This window comes from Homo sapiens, chromosome 2 (assembly GCF_000001405.40).
Source record: "Homo sapiens chromosome 2, GRCh38.p14 Primary Assembly".
Classification (NCBI taxonomy): domain Eukaryota; kingdom Metazoa; phylum Chordata; class Mammalia; order Primates; family Hominidae; genus Homo; species Homo sapiens.
Genome location: NC_000002.12, coordinates 102,190,716 through 102,206,155, shown reverse-complemented (window position 1 = coordinate 102,206,155; position 15,440 = coordinate 102,190,716). Strand labels below are relative to the sequence as shown.

General features: G+C 37.5%; 1 protein-coding gene across 19 annotated transcripts in view, besides 1 other annotated feature; it reads right to left on the bottom strand.

The window, feature by feature from the left end:
- IL1RL2 (interleukin 1 receptor like 2) overlaps positions 1-15,440 on the bottom strand; it is a 56,114-nt gene that overhangs the window by 36,931 nt on the left and 3,743 nt on the right. For 13 of the 19 annotated variants that reach the window (XR_923053.3, XR_007083521.1, XR_007083520.1 and 10 more), the window contains exons 4-5: positions 14,036-14,231; positions 4,441-4,600 (exon numbers count right to left, since the gene is read on the bottom strand). The exons of 1 other annotated variant lie outside the window; for it this stretch is intronic. Coding sequence is in view for 15 of the 18 variants with exons in the window: in XM_017005174.3 (XP_016860663.2) it covers positions 4,441-4,600; positions 14,036-14,231 (356 nt within the window). In the remaining 3 variants the exon portion in view is untranslated. The remainder of the gene's footprint in view (positions 1-4,440; positions 4,601-14,035; positions 14,232-15,440) is intronic. 5 more of the 19 variants (NM_001351447.1, NM_001351448.1, NM_001351449.2 and 2 more) reach the window with 1 other exon arrangement.
- Positions 7,880-9,079: an enhancer, noted in NCBI's record as "MED14-independent group 3 enhancer chr2:102813537-102814736 (GRCh37/hg19 assembly coordinates)". NCBI's record gives its function as "activates an origin of replication core promoter dependent on BRD2, BRD4, P300/CBP and CDK7 cofactors, and independent of MED14, by STARR-seq in HCT116 cells {active_cell/tissue: HCT116}" and the evidence as "EXISTENCE:reporter gene assay evidence [ECO:0000049][PMID:35650434]".

Here is a 15,440-nt window from a genome sequence, read left to right as displayed (position 1 = left end):
ATAACATAGAAAAGGAATTCAGAATTCTATCAGATAAATTTAACAAGGAGATTGAAATAAGATTTTTTAAATCAAGCAGAAATTCTGGAAATGAAAAAATGCAATTGGCATATTGAAGAATGCATCAGAGTCCTTTAATAGAGGAATGTATCAAGCAGAAGAAAGAATTAGCAGGCTGGAAGACAGGCTATCTGAAAATACACAGTCAAAGGAGACAAAAGAAAAAAGAATAAAAAACAATGAAGCATTGCATACAGAATCTAGAAGATAGCCTCAAAAGGGCAAATCTAAAAGTTATTGGCTTTACAGAGGAGGTAGAGAAACAGAAAAGAGTAGAAAGTTTATTCAAAAGGATAACAGAGAACTTCCCAAACCTAGAGAAAGATATCAGTCCCCAAATACAAGAAGGTTATAGAACACCCAGCAGATTTAATCCAAAGGAGACTACGTCAAGACATTTAATAATCATACTCCCAAAGGTCAAGGATAAAGAAAGGATTCTAAAAGCAGCAAGAGAAAAGGAACAAATAACATACAATGGAGCTCTAATACATCTAGCAGCAGACTTTTCAGTGGAAACCTTATAGGCCAGGAGTGGCATGACACATTTTAAAAACGTTTACCCTAGAATAGCATATCCACAAAAATAACCTTCAAACATGAAGAAGAAATAGACTTTCCCAGACAAACGAAAGCTGAAGGATTTCATCTACTGACCTGTCCTACAAGAAATGTTAAAGGGAGTACTTCAATCAGAAAGAAAAGGACATTAATGAGCAATGAGTAATCACCCAAAGGCACAAAACTCACTGGTTATAATAAGTACACAGAAAAACACAGAATATTTTAACACTGTAACTGTGGTGTGAAACTGTTCTTATCCTAGAAAGACTGAATGATGAACCAATCAAAAATAATAACTACAACAACTTTTCAAGGTGTAGTGAGTACAAGATATAAATAGAAGCAACAAAAAGTTAAAAAGCAGGGGAATAAAGTTAAGGTGTAAAATTTTTATTAGTTTTCTTTTTGCTTGTTTGTTTATGCAAACAATATTAAGTTGTTATCCGGTTAAAATAATGGGTTATAAAATAGTATTTTCAAGCCTCATGGAAACCTCAAACCAGAAAAAATGCAATAGAGTCACAAAAAAATAAAAAGCAAGAAATCAAGTCATATCACCAGACAAAATCACCTTCACTAAAAGAAGACAGGAAGGAAAGAAAGGAGGAAGAGAAGACCAAAACAAGCAGAAAACAAATAACAAAATGACAGGAGTAAGTTCTACCTATCAATAATAACATTAAATGTAAATGGACTAAACTCTCCAATAAAGAGATGTAGAATGGCTGAATGAATGAAAAAACAAGACCCATTGATTGTTTCCACACTTCACCTATAAAGACACACATAGACTGAAAATAAAGGTATGAAAAAAGATATTCCATGACAATCAAAAACAAAAAAAAGAGCAGGAGTAGCTATGCTTAGAGAAAATAGATTTCAAGACAAAAACTATAAAAAAAGACAAAGCAAGTCACTATGTAATGATAAAAAGGTCAATTCAGCAAGAGGATATAACACCCAACACTGAAGCACTCAGATATAAAAACAAATATTATTGGAGCTAAAGAGAAAGATAGGCTCCAATACAATAATAGCTGGAGACTTCAATATCCCACTTTCAGCATTGGACAGATCTTCCAGGCAGAAAATCAACAAAGAAACATCTGACTTTATCTGCACTATAGACCAAATGGATCTAATAGATCCATTTACAGAACGTTTCATCCAATGGCTGTAGAATACATATTCTTTTCCTTAGCACATGGATCATTCTCAAGGACAGACCATCTGTTAGGTCACAAAACAAGTCTTAAGACACTGAAAAAATTGGAATAATATCAAGCATCTTCTCTGACCACAATGGAATAAAACTAGAAATCAATAACGAGAGGAATTTTGGAAACTATACAAATACATGGAAATTAAACAGTATGCTTCTGAATGACCAGTGGGTCAATGAAGAAATTAAGAAGGAAACTGAAAAATTTCTTGAAACAAATAATGGAAACACAACATACTAAAACATATGGGATACAGCAAAAGCAGTACTCAGAGAAAAGTTTATAGCTATAAGTGCCTACATCAAAAAAGAGGAAAAACTTCAAACAAACAATCTAATGATGTATCTTAAAGAACTAGAAAAGCAAGAGCAAACCAGGCCCAAAATTAGTAGAAGAAATAAATGAAATTGAAATGAAAAAAACACAGAAGATCAATGAAACAAAAAGTTGGTTCTTTAAAAAGGGAAACAAAATTGACAAACCTTTAGCCAGACTAAGCAAAAAAGAGAGGAGATACAAATAAATAAAACCAGAAATGAATAAGGAGACATTACAACTGATATTGCAGAAATCCAAAAGATTATTAATGGCTACTATGAGCAACTGTATGCCAATGAATAGGAAATCCCTCTAGAAGAAATGGGCAAATTCCTAGACAAATACAACCTACCAAGATTGAACCAGGAAGAAATCCAAAACCTAAACAGACCAATAACAAGTAACAATATAGAAATTTTAATAAAGTATCTTTATTAAAGAGAAAGAAGTCTCTTTATTAAAGAAAAGTCTAGGACTGGATGGCTTCACCACTGAATTCTAACAAACATTTAAAGAAGAACTAATACCAATCCTGCTCAAACTATTCAAAAAAATAGAGGATGAGAAGATACTACCAAATTCATTTTATGAGGCCAGTTATTACCCTGATACCAAAACCAGACAAAGACACATCAAAAAAAAAAAAGAGAGAGAAAACTATAGGCAAGTATCTCTGATGAATATTGATGCAAAAATCCTCAACAAAGTACTAGCAAACAGAATTCAACAATACATTAGAAAGATCATTCATCATGACCAAATGGGATTCATCCCTAGGATGCAAGGATGGTTTAACATTTGCAAATCAATCAATGTAATACATCATATCAACAGAATAAAGGCTAAAAACCATATGGTCATTGCAATTGATGCGGAAAAAGCATTTGATAAAATTCAGCAGGTCATGATAAAAACCCTCAAAAAACTGGAAGTAGAAAGAACATGTCTCAATGTAATAAAAGCCATATGTGACAGACCCACAGCTAGTATCATACTGAATGGGGAAAAACCGAAAGCCTTTCCTCTAAGTTCTGGAACACGAGGAGGATGCCCACTGTCAACACTGTTATTCAACATTGTACTGGAAGTCCTAGCTAGAGAAATCAGACAAGAGAAAGATATAAACGGCATCCAAATTAGAAAAGAAGAATTCAAATTATCATTGTTGGCAAATGATATGATCTTATATTTGGGAAAACCTAAAGACTCCACAAGAAAACTATTAGAACTAATAAATTCAGTGAAGTTGCTGGATACAAAATCAGCATACAAAAATCAGTAGCATTTCTATATGCCAGCAGTGAACAATGTGAAAAGATATTTTACAAGTAATCCCATTTACAATAGCCACACATAAAACCATATCATCATTTCAAAAATATTAAAATACATAGGAATTAAACGAAATTAAATACCTAGGAATTAACCAAAGAAGTGAAAGATCTCTATAATGAAAACTATAAAACACTGATGAAAGAAATTGAAGAGGACACCAAAAAATGAAAAAATATTCTATGCTCATGGATTATAAATATACACATATTATGTAATATATACACTTATTATGTGTTTAATATATCATATACCCATTATTATATATATAATACACCTATTATTATGTAATATATGCACATACTATATATAAATATATATACCTATTATGTACCCACAAAAATTGAAAATTAAAAAAATTAAATTAAATTAGTGGCTTGAGCTAATTTACTTTTAGGGTTTCTTCTTCCCCTAAGATTCTACTTTCAAACCTCCAGGCATATGTTCAAGAGAGCTGGCTGCTCTGGGCTGAGAACACAGGTCCATGAGCAGCAGGATATCCCAGGACCATATCCAGAACTCTGAGCTCTGCGGCACTTGAGGCAGGGGAGGCCTCAGCTGGAAGGCCCGCAGGAATATTCACGACAATGAAGGCTGAGGTGAATGACAGTCATGTTCATCACATCTACTATTGTCTAGATACTTGTGTTTCATCAGGTACCCCAGCAGCTAGTCTATGTGCATGATCTCATTTAATTTTCACAAATCAACCAAGAGTTTTGAGTGTTCTGTTGTTCAGAAGAGGAAACTAAGCTGCTCATGCCCTTCTGCCTCACTCTTCCCACCTTCTGATTCTAACAGTGGCAGGTCTGAGAGCCTACTAGCCTTCAGGGAAACCAAGACCTAGAATCACTCCTGCTCAAAGCCCAAAACCCAAAGCCAGAAGCCAGTTCACACAAAGCCAAGAGAATACAAGGCGACAGGCATACATGAGCATACTTACTAATGCTCACAGTGATGCCATTTAAAACCTCGTACTGCTTCCCTGAGTGTGTCAGTATGGCTTGACACGCGTAGTTCCCTCTGTCCTCTGCCGAGACATTGCTCACCAAAAGCCTGGTTTCCAAAACAGTGAACCGCTCCCCTTTAATCTCGTTACAGTCCTAATACAAATAAAAACAAAATTCAATTCAATGAATACTTAGAAACCTGTGTGATCCCTAGTATTTAGGTAATTTACAGTCTAACTGGAAGACAACAGATAGCTAGCTAGCTAGGTAAATAGAAAAATAGGTAGATGATAGATTGATGATAGATGGATAGATAGGCAGCAGAATTCCCTGCCTAGTCTGTATATAATGTGTATATATGTGTGTGTGTGTACATATATATGTGCATGTGTGTGTATATAGATATACACAGATTTGACAAAGGATATTTTACAGGCTGAAGTGAATGATACAAACAATAAGTCTAGTAGGACTTGAGAGGAGAGTGGCCTACGTGAGTTGGAAGGAAGACTTCATGGAGGAAAACTGAGCCTGGGTCAGTTTTTTGCAGGAGGACATGAACAGGCAGGAATGTCCTCCACCTTCAGGGGCCCATGTCTGCCAGTGGACTCCCGCTTAATGGCCCAAGACCCTCTGCCAAGACTGGAAACCCAGGTGAATAACAACTGCTCCCACTGCCTTGCGGGCCCAATTACACTTTCTGCACTTATCAAGCATTGGACTTTATAGAAGTCCAAAATAATTCTTCACCAACATCCAATTTGAAGGTCTGAACAGTGATCAAAGGAAGCTGGCCAGGTTTATGGTGGGCAGATGTCACATCACTTCTCCCGCTTCCCATGCCTCCTCCATGGACAAGGCAACAACCTCACACCCAACCAACCAGAAGACCAGTGAGTCTCAGGAATGCTTTCTCTCCCAGCAACCACCCAGAGGGCAAGCCTCACTGTTTCTCTGTCCTGTCCTAGGCTCACATTCTCATGCTAATCACCAGTTCTTCCATCCCTTGGGCCACCTTCTGAATTCTCCCAAACCTGCTCCCTGTCCTCCAAGAAGCTGCAGTCCACAGAGTGACTGCTTAGCTAATTGAGTCCATTTGTTCATTCAAACATTTGAATTCCTGCAGTTTGCCTGCACTGTGACAGGCCTGGCCATGCAGGACTAAGATGCAATCCCTCTCCTCAGGAAGTGCACAATCTAAAAGATAAAATCAACATGCAAACTCCTAATTAAATAAATATTTACCTGCCCAAGTGTTAGGCTCTCTCCTCACTTAGGCATGGTTCAGAGTCACACTTCATTCTCCACCCCTGGAACAGCATGAATAGAGCCGCCCAGCAGGATGCAGTAAATAATTAATGCCAAACAAGCATTGGTTTATTTATAATGTGAAATGCTACTTCCTATAAGGCTTACATTATTTCCCTATAAATACCTGATATGGGAAACCAACTCATAATCTGACAACTGCTTGTCAAACAAAATGGGAATTACTAATCAGAGTTAGATGTATAAAGGGATCAGACTCTGATATTGTGATGTCTCCTTCTTTAGGATACAGACAAGCACTTTTTTTTTTTTTTTTTTTTTTGCTGGAACAGGGTCTTAGCTCTGTCGCCCACTTCCTGAGCTCGGGGGATCCTCCCACTCCAGCCTCCCGAGTAGCTGGGACTACAGGTACGTGCCACCACACCCCAATTTTTTGTTTTTTTAGTACAGGTGGGGTTTCACCATGAAGCCCAGGCTGGTCTCGAACACCTGAGCTCAAGGAGTCTGCCCACCTTAGCCTCCCAAAGTGCTAGGATTACAGGCATAAGCCACTGAACTCAGCCCAAACAAAGTACAATGTCTAGTCCTCACATTTCATAAACCTCTTCCCTGGACAGGCTGCCCTGGATAGTCTCTGGCTAGGCACAGTCTCTGGGCCTCCCTTGCTGTGCTTCCATGGCTGAGCAGTCCTCTTTCTGATGGGTTCATTCTTTCTTTCAAGATATACATATTTTAATCATCTTAAAGTTCAGCCTTGCAGCTGAGGGCCATTCTGTCGCTTTGCTATAACTTAGACTACCTCTATTCTGATCCACTGGAACATTATTTCAAAGTTTAAACTCTCAATGAGCTTGGATTTAAATTTAAAATCTTTAGGGTAATGTCTCACTAACAAGATTTAAAATTAAAATGTTAAGAACAATAGCGTCCACTTTTGAATGCCTTATGTATTCCAGGCAACGTGAAGAAAACTCCTGACCCAGCATGTACAATATTTCAGAAACACAAAATAGCCTTGAGAATTCTTACTAAGATGCAGTGGGTACAGAATAGTGATGGAGATAAAACTGGTGAGGCAGTCAGGAGACCTGTCACAGAAAACCATGAAGAGGAGACGAGCATCAGAAGCTTTCTGAGCAAGAGAATAAGACAATCAGATTTTCTTTTGAGAAAGATCCTTTAGTTGCTGTGTAGTTTAAAGGATTAAAATAGTGCAATGCTAAAGACCATTTAGATTTTATTTCCATAAACTGAGACCAAATGGAACCTAAACTAAGGCAGGGAAGTAGGGATAGCAAGTAAAAAACAAAAAACAATTATTTTAAGCAGTTCCAGTCCACAGAATTTAGTGACAAATTTGGAATATGCAGAGGGAGCAGGACTTCTACAGTCTTAGGTAAGCAAAGGTGTTACTAAGAAGAAGAAGGAATGCAAAGAAATGAAGAAAATGATCCTATTTAGGGTAAGATTAAAAAATAGATCTAACCATGGTGCATGGGGTGAGTGGTGGGGATGGGAGGGTCTAAGGAGACTGTACATTAGACGGTTGGACAAAGAAATCTGGAGATTGGAAGAAAGGTCCAAGTGGAAGAGAACTGGGAGCCATATGGAGAATATAGAGCCAAACGGATGGTTCTATAAATCATCCACTTGAATGTAAGCAAAAGCGAGCACAGAAGATGACCGCAGCTGAAACCATGGGGAACCTCAAATCCTAAGACCCAAATATAGAGGAAAAGAACTCAGTGATGATTACAAAGGAAGCACCAGAAAAAAATAAAAATAAAAAAGATAAACAGAGACAAAGAATAAGTCTTAGAAGGAAATGGGAAAGGAGTTCCTAGCTGATGGGAGTGCCCAGCAATGTTGAATGCCACAATCAGGTTGAAAATGAATGTCAATTTAGCAACTGAAGAGCGCGAAGTAACTTCAGCAAGTTCAGATTGAGCACAGTGATAGGGACCCAAAACCACTGTGCTGAGGAGTAATTTGGGATTGAAACAAAAACAAAATTGGGGACATTACCACTTTTCCAGGTGTAGACAGATGTCTTAATACCCAAACCTTGTCCTCTGTAAGCTCTTCAATTTCAAAGACTTCCTGGGGACTTTCAGTTTTCAATTCTCCCAGACGTAAGCCAGGATTTTCGTAGGGATTTGCCATTATCCAGAACCTCTGTCTCAAAATTCTTAAAATTAAATTTATTACTTTCTGACTGATTCCCTATTCCAGCTCATTCATTCCTTTATTGTAACATAATAATCTCTAATATTTATTTATTACGTACCTATTATGTACTCATGCTGAACTAAATGCTTCGTGGATAGATTAGATCATTTAATCTTTGAAACAGAGCCATGAAGCCATATATCTCTGTCTGGATTTAGCAAACAAAAATCATTCTATATTTTATGCAGAAAAGGATTCAAGACAAGATACTAGGTGCTTTGCTAAATCTGTGAAAGTACTCAGGAAGTGGCATCGAGGCCAGAACCACACTGCAGAAGTAGCTTGCCCTGAGAGCCGCTACCTCTACCACAATCTGGAAAGTGGGGAATCAACTCTGAAATACACCACCTGCAATTCAGAGACCAGGAGTTGCCGCTTATGCAACTCCAGTGTGTCAAGTAATGCCACATCAGGAAGAGCCACCCCAACAAATAAAGTGGAATACTCAGCTCCCACAGAACTGGAGACTGGACACTTCAATGCTGCTGGAGAAATTTCCGTGTCTCCAGGGCTCTGCTTTCCAGCAGAAAGAGCAGGAAGATCCTCCATCCTCACCTTTACCTTTCAGCAAAGCCAGCTGGAGACATGGAATTCCATCCAGAGCCTTAGCAGTAGGTGACTCAGCAAAATGTAAGGTGGTATGGTCATTTTGTTCCTGTGTCTTTTTAGTTTTATGGCCTCTACAGGATAAAAAGACTCACCATGGGCATTACACTTTTCCACCTGAACTTTCTATCCATTCAACTCACTTTTCTATCTTAACTGGAATTAGCCCACCTGACCTCTCTACTTTTGTCTAATTTCCAAGCTCTTTCAGGTATCATTTCCTTTCCTGTCCATCCTGGATTCACGTGTCCATCACTTGAATCACTTCCCTTCCAGTACCTCAACTCTGCAGCCCTCCGTCCTTCCAGCATCTTCACCTGCAAAGACCCATTCTGATGGATCCCTTCATCCCTCTCCTGCAAGCCTTCAACCAGAGAGCAGAGCACTATAGGAGATAATCACATAAACAGGGGTCTTGGTACCACTACAAATTCATTACATCTCCATCTATTTACTTACATTACTCTTTCAAATTTTCCCCATAACATCTCCTTACAATTAGAAAAATTAGGGGCCCTCAGACATGAGTTCCTCCTTTTCCCTAATTTTTCAGTTCTACTTTATAACTTTCTGAAATGAACCGCACTTCTTAACTTGATTTCTAGGATAGTCCAAATGATCAGCATGCCACCATTCTCAAGGCCTTCCAATGTATTCACTATAGCCCCACAGAAGGACTTTTCTCAAATGTGAATTTGCTCATGCCATTCTCCTGATGGTAGGATTCACTGTTGAAATGCTTTAGGTTGGCATAAATGGTGTTTATTTTCTAGCACCATCTTTCTACATGTGCCCTAAACTCTAACCAAGGCCCCCAAACACCATTCTCTTTCTCACCCAACGCCTTTGCACCTGCTGCTTCCCTCTAATTACTGACCTTCCTTGCCGTACCCACCAGGCTAACTGTGTTCACTCTTCAAGCACAGTTCAAAGTCACCTTTTCCAGGAAGCATAGCCATGGACATTCCCAGGGTCTGCTCTAGTTTTGCTTTCTTTATGTTCACCTCATGCTGTAATAAAATTCTTAGTTTACTTGTCTGCTTCCTCTGATAAATTGTAACTTCTTTGAAGACATATGACATCCCTTGGCACAGCACCAAGAAGATCACAGACTCCAGATATTGCAGAATTGATTCCAACCCTCTGGTTTTACAGATGACAACACTGAGGCCCAAAGAGTGATTCCAGGTCTGAGCACATGGTAGTGGCAAAAACAGCCATACCTGGATCACCAAATCTGAGCAGGTGGTATAGTATCAGGTGACCCCTCCTGCTTACACTGCTGACCCTCAGCTTTTGCCTACATTTGCAAGCCCAGGGGTTGTTTTTAAAATAAAGGCATCTAAGCGCCACCCATGGGTGACCTGCTTCAGTTAGCAGAAGGTGAGGCTGAACATCAGAATTTTTAAAAGATCCAGAGGATCAAATCCGATGCTCACTTAGGATTGCTAGTCATAGCCCTGAGTCCATCTCCAAGTGCTGCAGAAACAGAAGTTAGAATAGCCAAGGCAACATTTCAGAAAAAGGAAAAGCAGAGGACTTATACAAAACTTAAGACTTATCTAATGCCATAATAATTAACAAGCATAAGGGCCCGATGCGCTGGCTCACACCTGTAATCCCAGCACTTTGGGAGACTGAGACAAGTGGATCATCTGAGGTCAGTAGTTTGAGACAGCCTGGCCAACACGGTGAAATCCTGTCTCTAGTAAAAATACCAAAAATTAGCCAGTCATAGTGGTGTGCACCTGTAATCCCAACTACTCTGGAGGCTGAGGCAGGAGAATGGCTTGAACCCAGGAGGCAGAGGTTGCAATGAGTCAAGACCGCACCACTGCCCTCTAGCCTAGGAGAGAGACTGAGACTCCATCTGAAAAAAGAAAAAAAAAAAGAAAGAAAGAAGGAAGGAAGGAAGAAAGAAGAAAGAAAGAAAGAAAGAAAGAAAGAAAGAAAGAAAGAGAGAGAGAGAGAGAGAGAAAGAAAGAAAGAAAGAAAGAAAGAAAGAAAGAAAGAAAGAAAGAAAGAAAGAAAGAAAGAAAGAAAGAGAAAGAAAGAAATAGAATAAGGGAATGCTACAGAGGGTTCTGAAACAGATCTACACACAAAGACCAATATGATTTACGTTGCATGCAAAGCAACGTGAAAAGAACAGGTAAACTATAAGTCCACAGAGAAAAAAATTACATTTGACCCTACCAACACTACACACTTAAAAATCAGTGGAAAAAGAAAAACAATGAAACTTCAAGAAGAAAATATAGGAAAAAAGGTCTTTTTACTTAGGGGTAGGAAAAAGATTCTTAAACAAGTCACAGAAAGTACTAATCACAAAGGAAAATCAATACATCAGACTGCATTAAAACTAGGAAGTCTGAGACCTCATTACCAGAGTAGAAAGGTTAGCCATTGCTTAGAAGGACACATTGTAACAATTACTGATATCCAGATCTATAAAGAACTACTACAAATCAATGAGAAATAGACAAGAGGCTAGCAAACCACACAACGGGCCAAATGTGGCTAACCACCTGTTTTTGTAAATAAAATGTTATTGCAACACAACCACACTCCTTCATTTCTACATTGTCTACAACTGTTTTTGTGCTTCCAAAACAGAGTTGAGTGGGTGAAACAGAGACCATCCGGCCTACAATGCCTAAAATATTTATTATTTGGCTTTTCACAGAAAAAAAAAAATGATACCTCCTGGACAAGGTAACCCGCAGCCACTCAGGAGGCTGAGGCAGAAGGGTCACTCGAGCCCAGGGGTTCAAGGTTACAGTGAACTATGATTGCACTACCACACTCCAGCCGGGGCAACAGAGCAAGAGCTAGTCTCAAAAAAAATTTTCACAAGCAAGCACTCAAAGAAAAAAATTACACACACACACACAGACATCCAAGTGCCAATAAGAAAATTTAAAGAAGATCAACATTATCAGTAATCAGGGAAGTGTTAATTAAAGCTGAAATGAGACACAATTACTCATTTATCCAAATAGCAAAAATTAAAAAGACTAATAGTACCATGTGTTGTCAGGTATAGGGGCATAAATAACTCTTATACACTGCTGCTGGAACTGTTAATTGGCACCACTTTGGAAAATGGTTTGGCATTTTCTACGTACCCTTATGACCCAACTATTTCACTCTCATGTAATATGTCCCACAAAATTGCATTCATAAGTGAGGAAAGTGTTCATACCAGCTTTGATTCTAAGACCCAGAAGTTGGAAATGACTCAAGAGTCTAACAATAATAATAATGAAATAGTACACAGCAAAGAAAATGGATGAAATATAGCCACATGAAACAGCATAGATGATTCCCACTGTTTTGCTATTGAGCCAAGGAAGCTAGACATAAACACTACATATGATTTTATTCAAATTAAATAAAATTCAAAAACTGGTAAATCCAATCTATGATAGCATAAATCAGGGAAGTGGTTATTTGGGGGACTAGGGAGGCATAGTTTTTGCAAGATGGAAGAGGTGGGCCTTCGGAGGTGCTAGTAATGTTTTCTTTCTTAACTTTCATGGGAAAGGGTAATTAAAAGGTATGTTCACTTTCTGATAATCCAACAAGCTTGTCCAATTATGATTTCTGCATTTTATATGTATACGTTATACTTCAATGAAAAGGGGTTTTTTTAATGCATTGCAAACAATCATACCCAGGATATATAAATATATAAAATCTCCTATAAGTCACAAGAAAATGGCATGAAAAGTAAAATAAGAAATATACCAAAAGATATGAGTGGGCAGTTCAGAAGAGGATCCAGAAATGGCCAATAAACTGAAAAATGTGGTCAATCTCACTAATAATTAAGGAAAAGCAAAATAAAATAAAAAGGTACATTTTATACCCACCAAACTGATTTTAAAAATCAAAGGCTTATAATACAAAGTTCAACACAAGGTTGTAGGAAATCTAGAATACTCCTGGTGAGCCATGCATGGTGGTTCATGCCTGTAATCCTACCACTTTGGGAGGCCAAGGCCTGAGGACCACTTGAGGCCAGGAGTTCGAGACCAGTCTGGGCATCATAGCAAGATTCTGTCACACAAAAAATTTAAAAAATTACCTGGGCTTCCACTTGAGCCCAGGAATTAGGCTGCAGTGAGCCATGATCACACCACTGCACTCCAGCCTGGACAACAGAGTGAGACTCTGTCATAAAATAAAGTAAAATAAAATACTCCTGGCAAAAGTATAAACTGATACAAAATTCTGTGAAGCAATTTGTGTAACATCAACAAAGTTGAATACTTTGTTCATCTGCATGCCCTACAAATGAGCAATTCTAGGGCTAGTAATCTTAAAGGAATGCATTCACTGGCAAACGTGCCTTAAAATACAGGTATAAGGACACTCACTTCCACATTTCTTGTAAAAGAGGGAAACTAAACAACCTAAATGAACATGAAACATATAACAGAAAGGATCAACAAAGTCAAAAGTTAGCTTTTGAAAAGAGTACTAGAACTGACAAGTCTCTGATGAAACTAATCAAGTAAGTGTGTGTGTGTGTGCACGTGTGTGTGTATGTGTGTAAGAGAGAATGAATAATGACTGAAGGTGAACCTTACTTTGAAGGTTTTGATGTCTGCAGACATTAAAAGAGAAGAGCTGCTAAACAATTTTCCAGAATATATGAGACCTTTAATGAAATGAGAAACTTCCTAAGACACAAAATCTTACCAAACTCACACAAGAGAAAGTAAGAAATTTGCGTAATTCTTTCACCATTAAAGAAATTGAATCAATAGATGAAAATCTTCCCATAAAGAAAACTCATGACCCAGAGGGGTGTGCTGGCAGGCGTTAACAAGCAGGAAAAACTAATTCCAATCTCAAATGACTAGCCTGTGCTCCTCCATGCCAAGAGTTACCTTCTATGTCAACATATGCCAGGATCATCAAGAAAAGAGAACTTTTGAAGATGAAAACACAAAGTGCAGAAAGATGAGCGTAAAAAAGGAAGGGCTAGAAAGAGCTAGACTATATATTTTTATTTGCTAGTATAGCATCATACAAGAATAATCACAGGGCACTAATCATGGTAGCCACAGTTGAGGAAGGTGTGATGAGCCCAGAACAAATATGGAACGGTAGCAGGAAAGAGGTTTTCCAGGGGGTGACCTCTTAGAATTTGTGATTATTGAACCATGTGCACATAGTATGCATTTAAACAAATATAATTAATGTTAGAAAAATAAAGAAAAGCCTGAAAAATAAGAATAACTGGAGGAAGGTGGTGGATCCAAATAATAAAATATTACAAAGCTATAATAACCAAAAATGTTTAAAAACAGTAATTAGGAAGGTAACGTTATCAATGACTGCTAGCTAACTAATCTATCTTAGGCACACAACTTTCTTTACCAATTCTGCCTTAAAAAATACAACTTAACCTATAAAAAACAGTGGGTTTTAAAGAAAAGGAGGAAAAATATCAATAAGAAAATTCTTTTTTACCTTATACCACTTTATTGGACCCAAAACACAACTCTTCGGGAAGTGCAGATGACATGTGAGACTATCATCTTTTCCAAGATGTAATATTTGCTTGTACTCATCTGATAAATTTGGTAAACCACCTATGGAAGTGTCACACCAATGTTTTTCAAAAACAGTTAGGTTTACATGTATTCTATGACAGCTGTCTCTACCCCTGTAAGACAGATTGAGACCTCATAAACTCTTTAAAACAAATCACAAAATCAAATAATTCCACTCATTTTCAAATGTTTTCAAATCATTTTCACAGCACTGTGCAAACCCTCTGCCTCTAACAAAGCACTAAGCATCCACAAATGATTCATCACAAAAGGACAAATGGTATTCATACAGTGGAGGAACTGGACAACACCTTAACTGAGTGATCAAAATGGACATCACCAACTAGGGGCAAGTGGACGCCATGTGCCTCTGAGTAATATTCTGAAGAGGACACAAAGCCTCACCTAGCATTCCAGCCAAAATGGCTGAACCTACTCATGAAGAAATACCTGACAAACCCCAATGAAGGAGGTAATACAAAATAATTGCTTACAGTTCTTAAAAATGTCAGTATCATGAAAAACAAAGACTGAGGAACTGTTCCAGATTAAAAGAAATTAAATATTCATGGCAACCAAATGCAATGCATGATCCCAGATTGGTAACTGTACTGGAAAAGAAAGAAAAACATTATAAAAGGTCTTCAATGAGATCATTGATAAGATTAGAATATAGATTATAGATTAAGGTATTATATGATGTTTAAGTTTCCTGAATTTGATAACTATACTATGATTATGTAAGAAATAAATAAATATACATTGAAAGGAAATAGGAAACATACACTGTTGATAGGAAATATACATTGAAATATTAAGGGCTAAGAGGGTATGATGATTAAGGGCTAAGGCAGTATTCAGTTTTTTCAACTGAAATGGTTTAAAAAATGGTTTAGGAGAAAAATATTGTTTGTAATTTATATCATATATATTGTGAAAGAGAAAATTATAAGATAAATGTAAAAATATATTCTTAAAAACGAGGAATCTAGATAAAGGGTAGAAGGAAGTTCTTGATACTATTCCTGCAAAATTTATTTAAATTTAAAATTATTTCAAAGCAAAAAGTAAAAATATACAGTTTCCTAAACACGTATCCTATCTGGATGTTAGTAATAAAAGTCTTGGAGAATTCATGTTCATTTTCTTTCATGGCAGATAATATCTTCGTCAATTTCTATTAAAGATTACTTTTCCTCATTTCACAGCTCCCAGATTTAAATAGTTTAAGTCTAGCTTCGACATCCAGATTCATTTATGTGATGTATGATCTTCAAGTCTAGTTAATAATTCACAGCCTAGGCTACTAGTTAATAATTCAC